The following is a 19,663-nucleotide window of genomic DNA, read 5'->3' as shown; positions in this document are numbered from 1 at the left end:
CAAACAATAGAAAAAATAAATCCCAAACTAAAATTTTACAAAAACTGACAAAATCTTTACAAAAAGCCTGATTAAGATTAAAAAAAAAAAAGAGAGAGAGAAACATAAACACTAACGAAATTGTTAAAGGAGAAATAACCAAACACATAAGCAATGGTAAGAATATTACTTTATTTCTTATGGCAATAACTAAAAAGGAACAGGTAATTTCCTAGCAAAATACAAATTACCAAAATTAATACAAGAAAAAATGAAAAGCTTAAAAAGGCTAGTTTAGAAGAAAATGGAAAAGAGAGAAAAGTTCTCCCATTTTAAATGGCATCTGGATTAGACAAATTCAAAGTTAAATTTTTATCTAAACTTCAAATAACAGTTAATTCTAGTGTTAGATCACTGCAGGCCAAAGGGAAAATGAAATAGAAAGTAACCCCAAATCATTTCATAAAGCTAACATACCCTTAATATCAAAACATGATAAACCTCATACAAATGTGACATGATTATAGGTACAAAAATTATAAATAAAATGCTAGCAAACAGAATCTACCAATATGTCAAAGGAATAACATACTATTGAAAAGAATACTGCAGTTTATTACGAGAATGCAAATGTGAGTCTGTATTTATTCTCTCAATAAATATTTGGGAGGCTGTGAAGAAAATAGCTAACAGAGCATTATTCATAACAGTCAAAAAGTGGAAACAACCCAAACAAATGTCCATCAACCAATCAATGGATAAACAAAATGTGTTATGTATATTCATACAGTGGAATACTATTCAGCCATAAAAAGGAAGTAGTGACACATACTATGACATGAATGAACATTTAAAAAACTAAGCAAAGTGTAAGAAGTCAGTCACAAAAGACCACATATTACATGATTCCATTCATATGAAATGTCCACAACTAGGAAATCTACTAAGATAGATAGTAGATTAATGTTTGTTTAGGACTGGAGAAGTGGGGGCTATAGGAGAATGAGGGGTGATCGTTAAAGATAGAGTTTCTTTCTGAGGTAGTAAGAATATTCCAAAATTGACTGTGGTAATGTACATATATTTCTGTGAATATACTAAAAATCACTGAATTTTACACTTTTAAAGGGTGAATTGCATGGCATGTGATTATATTTCAATAAAGCTGTTTTTTAAAAAGAGCAAAAGAAAAGACTTTACATAGCATTCCTGAGACTGCCATCCTTACAGTGGTCTGCTTGCAGGGCTGACCTTTGGGAGTTCAAGATTTGGGGAGGCTTTCTACCACACTGATAAGAGTGGGTCACTGCACCTAAACTGCACAAACAAAATGTTTATCCTGAACACCTGTTTTCCTTCTGGAAATCTGGAATTTTGGTACGTCCCAGGCAGAGGATGCATAGTGACCACCCCACAATAAAATGTTAAGCACTGAGTCTCTAATGAGCTTCCTGGTACACAACATTTTACACGTCATCACAAAATCTATTGCTGGAGAAATCAGTGTGCCCTGTGTGACTCCACTGGCAGAGGACAATTGGAAGTTTGTGCCTGGTTTCCTCCTGACTTCACCTCCGGCTCCTTCTCTGTTTGCTGATCCTGCTTTATATCCTTTCACTGTAATAAATCACAGCAATGCATACAACTATATGCTGAGCCCTGTGAGTCCTGCTAGAGAATCAACAAATCTGTCAGGTGGGAGGGATCTTGGGGACCTCCAACCCAGAGGCATTATAGTACAGTACTTGAAAGCTGCTTCGTTTCTATCAGACTGGCAAAAATATTAAAATACTGTTGGTGAGGATAAAAGGGAAGAGGTACCTTCTTTCACTGCTAATAATGTAATCATACTATTATACCCTCTGGCAATATTAGATCAACATGGCAACAACTATTAAAAATTAAAACACACTTCAACCTCCGAAACCCAATACTGAGAATCTATACTCCAGAAATAAAAGTACATTTTTATTGAGATATATTAGGTTCTACCAGTAAATAATGAAGGAAATAAAGTAAATATCCATCAGTAGGAACATAATTGCTACAGGGTGTTCGCTGTGAATTCCTATAATTTTATGTTACCTCTGCATCCACTTTGAACATAAGTTGGACTTTCTGATTCCAGAAGCAGTACTCAGTTACCCCTGACAGTTTCCAGTTTTCTACCTCTTCCTAGTTCCTCAATATGGTCAATCCAGATATCTACTTTATATAACTGCTTCCTAGTTACCACCTCTTTATAGGTGGTCAGTGAAATACAACCCACTTGACTTGACCTACTGACTCACACAGCCTGCATGGGCTGTGCAGATATGCCACAGTGACCACCTTTCAGTCACAGTGACTTCATGGAACATGTACCCACTTACTCTAAACCCACCAATTAGACCTACCTGCAGGAAACCCACCTAGGTAATACCCTGGACCCCAATAAAGGCTTTGGCCTACAGGTTCCCCTCACTCTCTGTCTCTTGCTCCCCACCCAGTGGTTGAATATGCATATCTCGTTGGCTCCCCACTTCCAGTTGGCCATAGGAGGTGTGCTGCCCTCTTCTCTCTCGATTTGTAAGTAATACTGCTTCTGTTATTTCATGTGTTTTGGTGAGTTGTATCCTGTGTGTTTTGCCCAGTTACACCTGAATCCAACTTCTTTTCTGGTCAGGACTCTCCTAGAGAATGGCTATCTTGATAGGAATAAACTCAACACAGGTAAGACAAGAGCTACAAGGGCATCTGCCAGTATAAACAAGTTTCCTGTGAGAGGGACACCTATCAAGGGTCATGGACACTAAGGCATTAGGTCATATGCCAGGACAAAGAAGTATCCTGTGAAAGGCACATTGTAAACACTCATGACCAGATCTCCCGAAGCCCTGGCAGGGAAGGGGTAGTGTTTATAGCCACTCTCCAAAGACAGACCACAAGACCACATTAGAGGAAAACACAAGTGTTTTTGAGTGACAAAGGCAAAATACAGGAATTTAATATGATCTCACTTTGGTAAAACAATGTATGTGTGAAAACATATATGTTTTATATGATCACTTGAGCAAGGAGGTGTATATATGTATAATTGAAACAGGGCTAGACAGCCAACTTAGAAAACAAAAAAGATTAACTCAGTTATGTGCAGTTGAAGCCCAAAGAAAAAAAGAACAAAACATGTAAATATGCAAAACCAGAGATATGCATATTATAGCATAAGATCCATGTGGAAGCAGAATAGGCTTCTTGGAGAGGTTACATTTTATTATATATTGAAAAACGAGCACAAGTTTCATGCGTATGTTGGGAGGATGAGATGCATTTCAAAGAAATGCTATGAACCAAGTAATCAAGTAATATACACAATAAAGTACGAAGTAGACAGAACCAGGGGTCAGATCATGGCTGGTCTTGAAGGTCACATAAGAAATTTGGACTTTATCTAATAGGTGGCAAAAAGCTTTTGTTGGTTTTAAGCAGAGAAATTACAATCAGACTTGTGGTATAAATAGACCATGGCAATGAATAAGATGAATTTGAGGTAAATTAATCTGCAAGTAGAAGGGGTAAATTGGGAGGCTGGTGAAGGAATGCACAGGAGAGATGACATAGGCCTGCACAAGGGCAGTGGTAGCATAAACAGGGGATGAATATGACACTCTTTCAGAAGTAAAGTCCACAAAACCTATGAAGCAGAGAGGAAAGTAAAGAAAGTTCCCAGGTTTCTAGAGTGAATGGTAGTAGGACTGTTATACCAACTCAAATAGTATTTATAGGAAAATGAGCTTGTTTGAGAGAAAATATTGAGTTCCATTTGGGATAAAATGAATGAGTTTCTACAGAACATTCAAGGGGAGAGACCCAGTAAATATTTAGATTCAAAAGGTAATCCTGGGGAAGAGTTTAGGGTTGGACATAATGGATTTTCAAGTCATGAACATATAAACATAAGAAACCATAAGAATAGATGAAATGGTAAAGAAAGGACATGCGAGTGAGAAAAGTGGCAGCCTGAAAGAATATCAGAAACACCAGGTTTATGGTAGTAATTATTATACTGGAGCCAAAAGGACAATATTTTAGTCTTTATTTCACATAATAGCACCATATATAGATGGCTGGATGGATGACAACAGATAGCCACTACAGTCTATGTTGCACGCAATTGCTATTGTATCTGACAGAGGTCTAGAGCTGATGTTGCTAAGACCATTCAGATTTATAATCCCCAGGCTGAATACCTGGGTAGCAAAAAGGAAGGCAGAGTAGAGGGAATCTAACTCTAACAGAAGGTCTATAGGAACAGCCAGTAATTAACTCCTTCCTCCCTTTTATTCATCTAAATCTACTTACACACGCAACTGTAGTTTTCCTTACTCTTCCTTCTATTTTATATTACTTTTTCTATTTATATTTTAGTCTATTTTCTGTTCAGTAAGATCCAAATTAAACAATTCAGAGGTCACTAGTATCTCAGTGACAGCTAATTTTCCTACGTACAATATTTTTGTACATAGGATGTTTAAGTTAACCAGCTTTGGAGGTGTAAGTTGTAATCAATAAAATTCATCCCATTAGTGTACAGTTCAGTAAGTTTTGACAAACCTACAGTCATGTAACCATTACCACAATCAAGCTATAGAACATTTCCATCACCCTGAGAAGCTCTCCTGTGCCCCTTCACAGTCAATAACCTTCCTCACTGTGGTAGGCAGAATTCTACCACAGTGCACCCACACCCCCATCCCCAGATTTCATACCCTATAGAAACCTGTAAATATGACAAGATATGTATTCCATTATCTCATTATGTTATATGGCGCAGTTGACCTAAAAATATGGCGATTATCTGGTTGGGCCTAATGTAATCACATGAATCCTTAAAAGCAGAGTGCTTTCTCTGGCTGGTGACAGAAAAAGAGAGATTTGAAGCATGAGAAAGACTTGATGTGCCATTGCTGCTTTAAAGGTGGAGGGGGCCTCAACATGAGAGAACAGATCCTGGTTGACAGCTAACAAAGAAACAGGAACCTCGCTCCTACAAGGAAATACTTCTGCCAACAACCTGAATGAACCCAGAAGCAGATTCTTCTTCCTTAGGGCCTCCAGATAAAAGGCCAGCCCATTTGATGCTTTGACCACTCTTGTAAGATCCAGAGCACAGAATCCAGTTAAAAACGACCTAGACTTCTGACCTACTAACACTGTGAAATAATAAATGTGCATTGTTTTAAGCTGTTGTGGTAATTTGTTACATAGTAATAGAAAATTAATACATTCAACCTGCAAGAAAACACTGATACACTTTCTGTCCTAGTTTCAACTTCTCTAGAATTTCTCATAAATGGACTCATACTTTTGAGTTTCATCTGTATTGCTGCACAAATCAGAAGTTGTACATTCCTTATTACTGAGTAATATTCTTTTGCTTATCTCTTTACTACTGGTAAAGGGAGATTAATTGCAGTTGTTTCCATTTTGGGGTTATTATGAATAAAGTAACTATACACATTCAAGTACAAGTCTTTCTGTGGATACATTTCTCTTGTAAATACCTAGCAGTGGGACTGCTAGGTTGTATTGTAAATGCATGTTTAACTTTATAGAAAATTGCCAAAGTGCCTTCCTAAGTTTTTGAATACTATGCAATTTTTTTTCTTTCTTTTTTGAGACGGAGTCTCGCTCTGTCTCCCAAGCTGGAGTGCAGTGGCGCGATCTCGGCTCACTGCAAGCTCCGCCTCCCGGGTTTACGCCACTTCTCCTGGCTCAGCTTCCCGAGTAGCTGGGACTACAGGCGCCCGCCACCACGCCCGGCTAATTTTTTGTACTTGTAGTAGAGTCGGGGTTTCACCCAGTTAGCCAGGATGGTCGCAATCTCGTGATCTGCCCGCTTCGGCCTCCCAAAGTGCTGGGATTACAGGCGTGAGCCACAGCGCCCGGCCCTGTAGAGGTTTTAAAGTTTTGGCTCTTATGGTTAGCTCTATGATTCATTTCAAGTTTGTGTGTGTGTGTGTGTGTGTGTGTGTGTGTGTGTGTGTGTGTAGTGTTAGACAAGGCTTTGGATTAATTTTGTCCAAACAAAATCTAATTTTCCAGCACCATTTTTTAAAATGAGTATGCTTTCCCTAAATTGCTTTGGAATACTTTGTCAAAAATTAATTGATTATAGCCAGGCACAGTGGCTCATGCCTGCAATCCTAGTACTTTGAGAGGCTGAGGTGGGAGGATCACTTGAGCCCAGGAGTTTGAGAGCACCTTGGGCAACACAGTAAGAACCATCTACAAAAGTACAAAAATTAGCTGGGCATGGTGGCACATGCCTATATAGTCCCAGCTCCTCAGGAGGCTGAGGTGGGAGGATCGAGTGAGCCTGGAAGGTAGAGGTTGCAGTGAGCTGTGATTGTGCCACTACACTTCAGCTTGGGTGACAGAGTGTGAGACCTTGTTTCAAAACAAAAACAAAAAATTAACTGATTACTTACATAGTAGATATATTTCTGGTCTCTCTATTCTACTAGGTTGGTCCAAAAGTAATTGTGCTTTTTGCCATTACTTTAAATGAATTATAAATATTTCAGGTATGTCTAGAATTATACCAAAACCACACTCTTTCAAAAAAAATAAATAACGTCTTAACAATATTGAGACCTCCAATCTAGGAATATTATGTCTTTCTACATTTTTTTAGGTCTTCTTTCTCTTAGAAATGTTTTGCTAATTTAGGTGTACAGGTTATACATATATATTTTTAAATTTATCTCTAAGTTTTTCATCTTTTTTTGACATTATAGTAAATGATGTTTTCAATTTTGGTTTCCAATTTTTCATTACTAACATGCAGAAATATAATTGATTTTTTGTACTGACAATAAAAACTGCAACCTTAGTTCTAGGAGCTATTGTATAGATTTCTTAGATACTTTTACTTCTTGCTTTCTAATCTGTAAGCCTCTTTCATCTTGTTCTTGCCCTACTTAACTGGGTAGGTAGGACGTCCTGTACAATGCCAAAAGGAAGAAGTAAGAACAGAAATACTAATCTTGCTTCCAATCTGAGATGAAATCATTCAGTCTTTAACCTTATGTGTAGGGTTAGCTGTAGATTTTTACAGGTATCTGTATCAGGTTGGGTAAGTTCCCCTTTATTCCTACTTTGTTGAAACTTTTATATTAAACAGTTGTTGAATTTTGTCAAAATTTTTTAAATTTTGTAAATACTGAGATGATTATATGATTCTATTTGTTGACAGTTTAAATGGTTGTTGAATTTTGTCAAAACTTTTAAATTTTGTAAATACTAAGATGATTATATGATTCTGAGTCTTAATGCAGTATATTACAATGATTTTCAAGTGTTAAATCAACCTTGTATTCCTGTCGATGATGCCAATTTATCAAAACCTATTCTTTTTATGCATTTTGGACTTAATTTGCTAATAAATTTTAAATAACTTTTACATCTGTATTCATGAGGGATTTTCAGTCTGTAGTTTTCTTGTGATATCTTTGTCTGATTTTGTTACTGAATTTTTTTTTCTTTGTTTGTTTTGTTTTTGTTTTTGAGACAGTGTCTCGCTGTGTCGCCCAGGCTGGAGTGCAGTGGCGCAATCTCAGCTCACTCCACCTCCCGGGTTCACGCCATTCTCCTGCCTCAGCCTCCTGAGCAGCTGGGACTACAGGCGCCCGCCACCACGCCCGGCTAATTTTTTGTATTTTTAGTAGAGATGGGGTTTCACCGTGTTAGCCAGGATGGTCTTGATCTCTGGACCTCGTGATCTGCCCGCCTCGGCCTCCCAAAGTGCTGGGATTACAGGCGTGAGCCACCACGCCTGGCTGTTATTAGAGTTATAATCATCTCATAAAGTGAACTTGGAAGTGTTTTCTCCTCTTTAATTTTCTGGAAGAGTTTATGTAGACCTGCTATTATTTCTTCTTAAAAGGCTGGTGGAATTCATCAGTAGCACTATCTGGGCCTAGAATTTTCTTTATGGGAATATTTTAAATCACAAATTAAATCTCTTTGATAGAAAGGGCTACTTAGGTTTTCTTTTCTTCTTGAGTGAGCTTTCATAGTTTGTGTCTTTAAAGGACTTTTCCCATTTCACCTAGTTGTCAAATTTATTGGCAAAAAAATTCACAATACTCTGTATTATCCCCTTAATGTTGGTAAGGTTTGCAATGATGTCCATTCTTTCACTCCTGATACTGTTAATTTGTATCTTCTCTTTTATTGATCAGTCTTGGCTAGGGATTTTATCAACTTTATTGATAATTTCAAAGAATCAGCTTTTCATTTCACTGATTTTTTTTCTATTGCTTTCCTGTTTTCACTTTCATTGGTTTCCAGAACTCTATTATTTTCTTTCTCTGCTTACTTTGGGCTTAATTTGCTCTTCTTTTTCCAGTTTTCTGATAAAAGCTTAGAGCTTTCTTCTTTTCTAATATAAGCATTTTGTTATAAATTTCCCTCCACACTGCCTTAGTTTAAATCCCACACAGTCTGCTATACTGTTTTCAATTTTATTCTGTTCAACATAGTTTCAAATTTCCCTTGTTCAACTTTCAAGTACTCCTTTCCCCAGCCTCCTGGAGTTTCTCCCTGTACCCAGTTCCCAGCCAGAGATTCAAGGGCACTCTTATGCAGATTGCCAGAGTTTCCTCTCTGTGAAATTATTTCCCTTCTAGCATTCTGCTCCACAAATTCTAGTCACTTCAGCCTCCCTGATCATAGCTTTAAATCAGATCTATAAAGATATTTAGAACTAACCTCCCTCCCTAACTCCACAACATTTAAATGCACTGAGTTACATTGTTAAATAATTCTAAACCTCATACATGCTAAGAAACACAAGTTTAAAATGTGATAGTTGTGATATTCTTTTGGCTAGTATACAGTAATTTGCATTCTGACAATTCATTATTAACACTGTGTAATATAATAAAACATGGCTGCTTTGGGCTTAATGTAGCATTTATACATCGGTTCTGTTTAAAGAAATTCAAGCCAGATGTGGTGGCTCACGCCTGTAATCCCAACACTTTGGGAGGCCAAGGTGGGCAGATCACGAGGTCAGGAGTTCAAGACCAGCCTGGCCAAAATGGTGAAACCCCGTCTCTACTAAAAATACAAAAATCAGCCGGGTGTGGTGGCACACGCCTGTAATCCCAGCTACTCAGGAGGCTGAGGCAGGACAATTGCTTGAACTCAGAAAATGATGGTTGCAGTGAGCCAAGATAGCACCATTGCACTCCAGCCTGTGCAACACAGCAAGACTCCATCTCAAAAAATAAAATAAAATACATAAAAAATATTTAAAAAGAAATTCAGGTCTCCAATAAAATAATATGTAGATATAGGTACTTAGACTGTGATGCAAATCATCTTCCTTACCTTGAGTCATGGTCAAAAAAGTATGAAAACCACTAAACTAAACTAACTTTTTTCCTTCTTTTGACAGTGTAAGAAATATCAGGTCAGGAGAAGTTTAGTAATGGACTCGTTTTTAGAGACTGTAAGTAGTAGAGCTAAAATTAGGAATTATATACCTTAAAGGCCAATTTAACACTTTTACTTCTAACCAAACCACCTATGATGATCAGACCTGTTTTAAGATTACCCTGGTAGCAATAAGAAAAATAATGTGGATGGTAAAGATTCTAGAAGCACATCAGGAAGATCACAAACACAGAAGTACCAGGGAGGAAACTCTTAGTCGGGATTTCTAACTTGTCCTCTATCAAGTCACCTTCTCCTTTTTTGACTTTTCACCAATCCTACAATCTTGGTTCTCTTATATTTAAAGGCAGCGATCTTCAAATTGGGATATGCACATCCAAGAAAACATAATGATTTTCCCAGAGATTAAAGGTATGGTTAGATTTAAAGGAATTAATTTACAGATCTGCCACTTCCAAATGTACACTTTCCTAGAATTGATCTGGCTAACGATTCGTCTGTAGTTCTTTCCCAGTTCTGCTTTCACAATTGCTTTCCTCCTACTTTACAAAATAATGACATATACCCCTCACCCATCCTACATCTTACAGTATTCTATTTTCTAGGTTTACTACAAAAATCTCCAGGTGCCAAATAAAGGAACAACTCAAAATATTGGTGTAATTTAAGCTTCCTTTAATTGGGCACCTTAACTCATGCTCAGCTTATCTCACTAAAAGATACATTTGTAATAAACTTTTAACTTCTTAGGTTTTAGTTATTTCTCAAAATTTATTATGTGCATATAGATACTGAAAATAGAGACAGTGAAAATTCAGATTTACTGGTTCCCAAAGTAACTGTATGTATAACATAATCCACAAGGGAAAAATATACATCTGTTATTTTATTACAAAGAAGTGTAATAAAGTGATTGAAATGATTTAAATCATAAAAATAATTATAAAAATAGTGGGAATATATTTATTATTTTTTGTATTACATGTGTTCCAGGAGAAAAAAGAGCAATGCAAAATCCAGCAATCCCTAGTGGTATATACCCAAAAGAAAGAAAATCAAAGAGATGTCTATACTCCCATGTTTATTGTGGCATTATTCACAATAGCCAAGATATGGAATCACCCTAAGTGTCTTAAGTCCGCCAATGGATGAATGGATAAAGAAAATGTGGTATGTATACATAATGGAATATTATTCAGCCATAAAAAAGAATGAAATCCAGTCAGTTGCAACGACATGGATGGAAGTGAAGGATATTAAGTGATATAAGACAGGCACGGAAAGACAAATATCCCATGTACTCACTCATATGTGGGAGCTAAAAAATAAATAAATAATCTCATGGATATAGAGAGTAAAATAACAATTACTAGAGGCTGGGAAAGGAAGTGGAGAGAAGGGATAAAGAGAGGTTGGTCAATGTACAAAAATACAATTAGAAGGAATAAGTTCTCGTGTTCAGTAGCACAACACAGTGACTAAACAGTAATGTATTGTATATTTCAAAATAACTACAAGGGTAGTATTAGAATGTTACTAACTCAAAGAAACAAACGCTTAAGGCGATGGACATCCCAACAACCCTGATTTGATCATTATACACTGTATGCTTATATCACAATATCACATGTACCCCATAAAGATGTGCAACTATTACATATCCATAAAATTTAAAATTAAAAAAAGATACAATTCTATTGCAAGAATAAGGAAGAAAATAAAAAAACTAAACCTATATCCACCATCATAGAAAATTAATGTTAATTTAAGCTTGAAAAATCACCAAATAGCAATACAGAATTCATATTTAGAAATATAAATAAAACTATAGAATAATCAGCTGAAAGACTTGAAAGTGTTTGCTTCTTCAGGGTGGCACTAGAAGGAAAGAGAAGCACAAGGTGCTATTGTATATTGTGGTAAGTTTTCAGTGCAATGCAGTTTATGTCCATGTTTGATTTCAAAATCATCCCCCTCTCTCCTTTGCTCTGCTGTGTATGGGACAACCATACAGAGCTGATCTCTGCAAACAGCATTTCCCAGGATCCCTTGTGAATCCATTTCTGGCCCATTTCGGCCAATCAGAGGCACTGCCAGAAAATCGAAGACAAAGGAGAGAAGCCAAGGTATTTCTCCCCTTCTCTCTCTGCCCTGTTGCTATCTCTGGCATATTCTCCTCGAAGGCTCAAGTTCCCCGTTTACAGCAAGGCCTCTAAAGTTCTAGGTCAGGCTTGGTGGTTCCAGCTCTTGGGCTCCTGTCTTTGGAACTTAAGCCTAGGGACAGTGGCAACTTACAACACCAGATAATTTATCTTCCCCTGGTGGCTCCTTAAGGTCTTCTAACAGCTTTTTAAATTTTTTTCTTATATTAAATTTTCTAATTCAATACTAGTACTAATTTTTTTTTTTGAGCTGGGGTCTCACTCTGTCACCCAGGCTGGAGTGTAGTGGCCTGATCATGACTCACTGCAACCTTGACCTCCTGGGCTCAAGCGATCCTCCTGCCTCAGCCTCTCAAAGTGCTGATATTACAGGTATGAGCCACTGTGCCCCTGCCACTAATACTAATTCTAATGTAATACAACAGTTTTGATTTTCTAAATGGGCCTAATATAAGTAACTATTTGATATTTTCAGATACAGGTGTCAGAAAATATTGACAAAGATTCTCTCATTGATCAAACTCCACTCGAGCTATTCCATGTTCTTTTTCAACTATTCCTCAACTTTTGGACTTCCTTGTTTGTCTCTACGTTGTCCAATTTTAGCAAGAGTCCTACTAAGTCAAGTCAGCCATTCTCCTTATCTGATCATCCTCATATCTGATTAGGTTCCTCATCCTTCACCATCCTCCAGGTGATGTCTGATCACCCTGGCCTGCCTTCAACAAGAATCCTGTTAGGTCAGTTTGGCCAGAATCCTCTCTTATTCCTAATGTTGCCCCCTAGTAATTTTCCATCCACCAACCACACCCACATCCTTGTCTATAAATTCCCGCTTTTACTTGTAGTATATAGAGTAGAGCCCAATCTCTCTCCCCAACTGCAAGACTCCATTGCAGTGCTCCCTGTACCTATCTGTAACAAGTGTCTTCCTTACCATCTTTAACAATTGTCATGAATAATTTTTTCCTTAACAGCATAAATTTCTAAAAGTTTAAATACATAAATATATTTCACAATGCTTAAGAAATTCTTAAAGAAAAAAATTAGAAAACTGGCAGAATCACTTCAAAGGATCTTATATTCTCCTAACTGTTTACTTTGAATGAAATTCTCAGAAGTTCACTTATGGCTTGTTAAAAGCAACTGCATTACCCTACAACACTGCAAATATGAAATAAGTAAAATATTATATCCCCAAATAAAAGAGTAGAACTTACTTTTTCTAAGAATTTATATTTGTCAAACTGCATTTGTGTTTTTAACTCCAATGTAAATAAGTACTTCAGTAGCAGATCTACTGAATATCTCAATACAATTTGATAGATCACTGCTTTTTCCTAAAAGAGTTAATAGTGCAGCTAAAAGGAAAAACTCAGCAATTTCCCTCTTTTTTAGTATATATTTAATTTTCATAAATAATTTTTTAAACCATATAGAAGAGCATACAAGGAAAACCAAGTCTCCCCCATATCAATTATATTCCCCATAGGCAACCAATACCAATGTCTTATGCGTCCCTTCAGAATTCATTTGTGCAGTTATAAACATATATCCACATTTGCCTGTAAAATAAGGATAATTACAACATTTACTGTTATTAAAATTTCTGTAAGGCTTAAATAAGAAAAAACAAAATGTTTAACTTTATTAAGTGCTTAATATCAGTTATTAATACTTTCCAATAAAATATTTTAAAATAAAAAACTTAAATTTGAACTTTAAAATGAACCAGAAGTTTTGAGAAAGAGAGAGAGACAGAAAGAAAAGAAAAGAAAGGAAATAAGTCACTGCTGTTTTCTTATGAGTCAGTGCTTTACCAGCAATAATTTTATCCTAAAAGGCAAGATTCCAGGGCCACTCTCCTTCATTACCCTAGACAAGACTATCAAACTATCTTTTCTCCTTCCAAAACTTAAGCCCAATACATAATTAGTTAGGTAATCTTCACCATGCTATATAAATTATTTAACAGGTGTTTTCCCCCAAAAGGGGATGACACTATATGGAATTTGTTCAAATTCTAACATCCAATAACTTTATCAGGCTACTAGAATGGTCTGGGTAAATGATAATGGCATCTTAAACCTGATTCATTATACCTATTATGGGTTGAATTGTGTCTCCCAAAAACATATGTCCAAGTCCCAGACCTATGAATGTCAATGTATTTGGCAACAGGGTATTTGAAAATGTTATCAGATTAAGATGAGGTCACTGGGGTGGACCCTAATCCAATGTGACTGGTAGCAGTCATTATAAGAAGAGAAAGAGAGAGAATGATGACAGAGGCAGAGGCTGGAAGGATGAAGCTGCAAGTCAAGGAACACCAAAGATGAACAGCCACTGCCAGAAGTTAGGAAGGGGCAAGGAAAGATTCTATTCAGAGCCCTCAGTTGGAACCAATCCTGCTGACACCTGGATTTTGGACTTCTAGTTCCAGAACTGTGAGAGAATAAATTTCTGTCATTTAAGCCACCCAGTTTGTGGTTCTTTGTTACAACAGCCCTAGGAAACTAATATAATAGTTGATAAAGCCATGAGACTCTTTGTTCTTTTATGTGTATGGATTTTTTTGATTATCAAACAGTACTTGTTCATTAGATTTCTGAAATACCACAGAAATACTACATAAAGAAAATTAGAAATATCCATAATTCCATATTAGCACAGAATCACTGCAAATATGTTCTTAATAGTACACAGTCCTAGCCATCAAACTGTAAAGTAAAACTTCATATTAACATCTTTTCACTAACAATATAGCACCTCAAAGATACACTGAGGACTTTCTGATGATATGCTACAACTGCTCATCTTACTAGAAGTATTTAAGATTTTATTTTAGATAACTAGATAGCAAACAGAAGAGTTATACCAAGTTGAAGTAATACAAAAAAACTCTTCATCTTCAAGTAGATAGTGTCAGAAAAAAGAAAAAATATATCTTTCATTACAGAAGTAACTGTGTTTATAAAGCTAAAGGATTATAGTAAGGAAGGTATAATTGAAGAATAAATATTCTTTGATGTGTAAAACCATTGTCACTCTAGAAATGGAGGAATTAGAGAAGACTACAGTAGAAAATTTATAAAACACAGAAAATAAAATTAATAAGAAAAAAGACTATAATACTGCCAACAAAAAAACAGTAAGTTTTAAGTAATTTTCAATGTTTCCACTTTTTTGCTCTATTTCTTTGTGTCTAACAAAAAACCGTGCTATATTTCATGTTGCTTTTACCTATTCACTAGTTTCCACTAGTAACTAACTAGCAAAAGACAAGCATACACATGTATCCAGAATATAGGACATGGTCATTAAAGAAAATGGCTTACAGCAGTCTACTTTTAAGACATGATCTCCAGAAGAAAATTATGTCAAGCCAGCAATAACCTAACATTTATTTGCCTTGACAAAGCCCCAGACTGAACTCTTACTTTATCTATACCTTCCTCCCCATCTCAGCCAATGGCAACTTTATCTTTCCAGTTGCTGAGAACAAATATCTTGATGTCATCTTTGACTCCTTTTTCTGTCATATTTCAGGATCTGACCACTTTTCACCACCTCCACTTCAACAATTCTAGTCTTGGCCATCATCACATCTTGTGTGGATTAAAAAAATAGCAGCTTGTCTCCTGGCTTCTACCCTTTACACAGTAACATATAAGTCTATTCTGGAGAGCAGACAGAGATCTTTCTAAAATTAAATCATAATGTCACTATCTGCCCAGCCCCTCATCTAACTACTTGACCTTTGGCTTTCCCATTCCAGCCACATCAGCCTCCTTCTCATTCCTGCACACTATACAAACTTCTGTTCTCTATATTGTTTGCACTGGCCATTCCCCTGCCTGGAATACATTCCCCCCATAACGCCCACATGGCTTTGCCCTCCCTCCCTTCATAATTGCTTTGCCAAAAAAGTCACTTAAATGAGGCCTACACTTATTTAAAATTGCAAACCATCACAATCTCTACCACGCTTTCCAAATTCCTCTTACCTTGTTCTACTTTTTCATTCCTCCTTGGCACTTTTCTCCTTCTAAATATATTATAGAATTGACTGCTTATTCTTTATTGTCTCTTCTCCAAATCCACTTAGAATGTAAAGCAAATCCCAAGCATCTAGAACAGAACACAGTGCATGGTTAAGTTTTCATCAAATATTTATTAAAGGAAGCTCAGGAAACAAAGTAAAATCTCAAACAACAAACCCTTTGGAAAAAACAGTGTTCCTAACAAAGACAACCTAGGCACTAAAGTATAGGACAATTTCCTACCATCTGGCAGGTAGGTCAGTGTCAGTACTACACTGACAAAGGAGGAGCATTATCTCATGCCTATATGGTAGCATCATATAGGAGGAAAAATTTAGGGCTCAATCTGCTCACCTAAGTATGGGGAGGGGCACCATGAGAGGGGCAACAGTTTATTATGCAGGCTGAGGAGTTAAGAAAAAGCCAAAGAATGAGGTATCTGATGGGCAAAGAATACCCTGATGGCTTCTTGACAAGGATGGAATCCATACCCTGATAGTGACCTTATAATTCCCATAGATATTTTATTCCTCCTCTGATATAAAGTTTACAACACATTGCTCAACTACTCAATCATTAAAAATCTATCAGTTTCATCATCTATAATCAAAATCATAGGGCTACTGTGAGAATCATAAACCATGTATAAAATACCTAATAAATGGCCAAAACATAGGCATTCAACGAATGCAGGCTAATTATAATAACATTATCTTCCACGTAAAATGATTTTTAACAATGTCAACAAGGATTTAGAAAAAAGCAGACGCTGTATTATATATTTTATACTCCATTTTGCTATCTTTAAGGAAATACCTTAAACTGATATATTAAACTTAACCATTGCTTTAATTCAGATTAATGAGATCAGATAAATTGTTCAATGAAATATCAATTTCTTAATTTTAAAATTTTAGTAGCTGTTCTTAGTAAATCATAAGCAATTTTGTTACGGAGCTATCCTAGTTTAAGAATATCTAGCATATGAAAAACCTAATTTATAAAATGAATGTTTGGGAATACTTCACATTATAAGTGGATTTTCACCACAGAATTGTTGTAAATATTCATTTACAAAACCTTTCTGGACTAGAAAGGAGAGAAGGAGAAAATGAGTTAAAATGTTAACAGCCAATGGATCAGAAAGAAAGATAAAGTGACTGAAGTAAGTGTCAGCAACAGAGACTTGATTTAGAAATTTTCAACCAAAGTATAAGTTTTCAGAAAAATAACTACTTAATGATTTTTTTTTTTTTTTAGACAGAGTCTCACTCGGTCGCCCAGGATGTAGAGCAACGGCACAATCTCAGCTAACTGCAACCTCCGCCTCTTGGGTTCAAGTGATTCTCCTGCCTCAGCCTCCTTAGTAGCTGGGACCACAGGTGTGCACCACCACGCCTGGCTAATTTTTGTATTTTTTAGTACAGATAGGGTTTCACCATGTTGGCCAGGGTGGTCTCAATCTCCTGGCCTCAAGTGATCCGCCTGCCTCAGCCTCCCAAAGTGCTAGGATTACAGGCGTGAGCCACAGCACCCAGCCAACATTGTCTAATTAACTTTTGACTTTCTAGTGTTTAGCACTATGCCTAGCATACAATAGGAGGTCAATAATGTTTATTCAATACTTCTAACTCAGAAAAGCGCAGCAGTAAAAAACTTCCAAAGGAAGGGTATTTCTTAAAACTTCTTTTTTGTAATATGTGTAAAATTGAAAACTAATGTTATCTTCAAATTAATTCAAAAATACCATGACACCTCAAATAACTGATTTTGTTCATAAAAATAGCTAAGATATTGGAATAAGGTTTATTTTGCAGAAAAAATTCTGATGAACTGCAGAGTATATGAAGCAACTCTTCTGAAGTCTCATGTAAAATCATAATTCTTTAGCCAGATGCAATGGTTTGTAGCCTTTTCTTGTATCATGGACATCTTTGGTGGCCTAATGAAGCCCCCTATGAATAATGTTTGTAAATGAACAAAATAAAATTCATAGCATAAAAAAAAGAAAAAGAAAAAAAAATACTAAGATCACAAAGAAAACCAATTATATTAAAACTCAATTCTAACCACAGACCACAGTTCTAATCATGGGCTTTTGGTTCAACAATTCCTGATAGAGGATATGAGTTAACCTGGAAGAGCACAGAATATTATTTGCCTAAATATTCTATATACTGTACATGGTATCTATGGTATTCTTATTATTAATTTTAAAAAATGTATAACCTGCAAAGATTACAATATTACATAAAGCTATTTAAAATTTAACCTTTGAGGATTTTTACTTGTAGTAGAGCAGGTTGCATCCGTTTCTTGTTCCTATCATGTGCAAATACCATAATGCAAAATTTTCTAAAATCATCAGTATAAAATTAACAATATAATAATACTATATTTGTAACATCATTAATTTCTACCTAGCTCTGCAAAGATAACATAAATCAGCATACTTCCCTCCTTAAAACAAGAGCTCATGAGCAGAGTAAGCGAAACTGGCAATCATTTTGGCCCTAGCACACCTAGCACACTGTGTTAAAAATGCTTCCAGATGCAATATATAAACTACCCAACTTTCTACAGGTTGTTTTTGAGTTCTACAAGAAATACCTTACAGTTAAAGCTGTCAAAAAGGATCTTCTAAGTATTTTAGTAACCAAACATCTTTGTAGGATAGTTTATTCCATCACTTTATAAAGATCAACTGTGTTTTCGGAAAGTTGTAGGGTAAAGCAATGTACCCCCTCCTACCCCAGTAAGTAAGAGAGTTCCAAACAATTCCAGGAGGGAAAATAATTCTGATTTTGGCTTTTAAAGCTACATATAACCTTAAATGAGATAAAATTTTCATTTTTAAACTTTGTCTTGCTAAAACAAACTTGTAAACCATATGGTACCAAAGTTGTATTTCTTGATACTGCACAGTTTAAAATAAACATCTAACATTAAACAATATAAAAGAACTTGAATCACAGCACATATGGCAGGTCTTAAGAGTATTGTGATTTTTCTTTTTTTTTTTTTTAAGGAAAAGAATACACTAGTTGGAAAAGTCTACCTTCCCATTAAAATATCTTTTTTAAAACTATCTTATGCATTGTTTAGTGAAAATATTAACGAATTGATTATTAGTATCAAATTCCATGAACTTACACAATCTACATACATTTTTAAAAATATTTGTTAAAATTCTTAGGAAAAAGGAAAGGCCAGTTCTTAGTCTCTTTTTTACACGTTAGGAAGAAATACACAAACCTCCCAGTTTCATTAATGAAAAAATCTTAATAAATCACTTTCATGGTTTATCACCAGTAAACACGAACCTGCACAAATTGTATCAAGGAGCTTATTTTAAAAGCCTTTGAGATACAAAACAAAAACCTTATTTCTCAGACTATAATTAACTCCTACTTACACCGAGTTTGTCTATTTGGAATTCTTATGACAACAGCAGGTAAATCATATATTACTTTTGCAGAGTAAGTTTTGTTCCCTTTGGTTTTTTTTTTTTTTTTTTAATTTATCTTTAACAGGACGAAGGGTCTTTGCTTAGACCATCATCACGGAACTGAAAAGAACAGAAAATAACAATTATCAATGTAACTAAAAGTTCATTTCCAACAGACATTTTGTGTTAGCACTTGCTACTCATTTTAAATAGTGAAAATCAGCAAGCCTTTTCTTTTAATAACTAAAAGTGAATCAGATCTTAATCACAAAAACCTTCCTAAGTGTACTGCGTTTTTTTGTTTGTTTGTTTGTTTTTTGGAGACGGAGTCTGGCTCTGTCGCCCCTGCTGGAATGCAGTGGCGCGATCTCGGCTCACTGCAACCTCCGGTTCAAGCAATTCTCCTGCCTCAGCCTCCCGAGTAGCTGGGACTACAGGTTAAGTTTACTATTAAACCTACCTCAAAAATAGCCTTAGATATTCTTTGCAAATATATATATTTATACATACATACATACACACACACACATATATATATATATATATATCTATTTCCAGATAAGGAAACTTTCGGAAAACTTTGCTGT

The 19,663-nt window shown here is 35.8% G+C and overlaps 1 protein-coding gene across 33 annotated transcripts in view; it reads right to left on the bottom strand.

Annotated features, from left to right (window-relative positions):
* USP53 (ubiquitin specific peptidase 53) overlaps nucleotides 1–19,663 on the bottom strand; it is an 82,918-nt gene that overhangs the window by 62,253 nt on the left and 1,002 nt on the right. For 20 of the 33 annotated variants that reach the window (XM_017008313.2, XM_047415829.1, XM_047415828.1 and 17 more), the window contains exons 2-3: nucleotides 19,044–19,196; nucleotides 15,593–15,716 (exon numbers count right to left, since the gene is read on the bottom strand). The exons of 1 other annotated variant lie outside the window; for it this stretch is intronic. The gene's annotated coding sequence lies outside the window, so the exon portion shown is untranslated. The remainder of the gene's footprint in view (nucleotides 1–15,592; nucleotides 15,717–19,043; nucleotides 19,197–19,663) is intronic. 12 more of the 33 variants (NM_001389658.1, NM_001371398.1, XM_047415831.1 and 9 more) reach the window with 1 other exon arrangement.

This window comes from Homo sapiens, chromosome 4 (assembly GCF_000001405.40).
Source record: "Homo sapiens chromosome 4, GRCh38.p14 Primary Assembly".
NCBI classification, from domain to species: domain Eukaryota; kingdom Metazoa; phylum Chordata; class Mammalia; order Primates; family Hominidae; genus Homo; species Homo sapiens.
The sequence above is the reverse complement of the archived record's forward strand: the minus strand, read 5'-3'. Positions and strand labels throughout refer to the sequence as shown.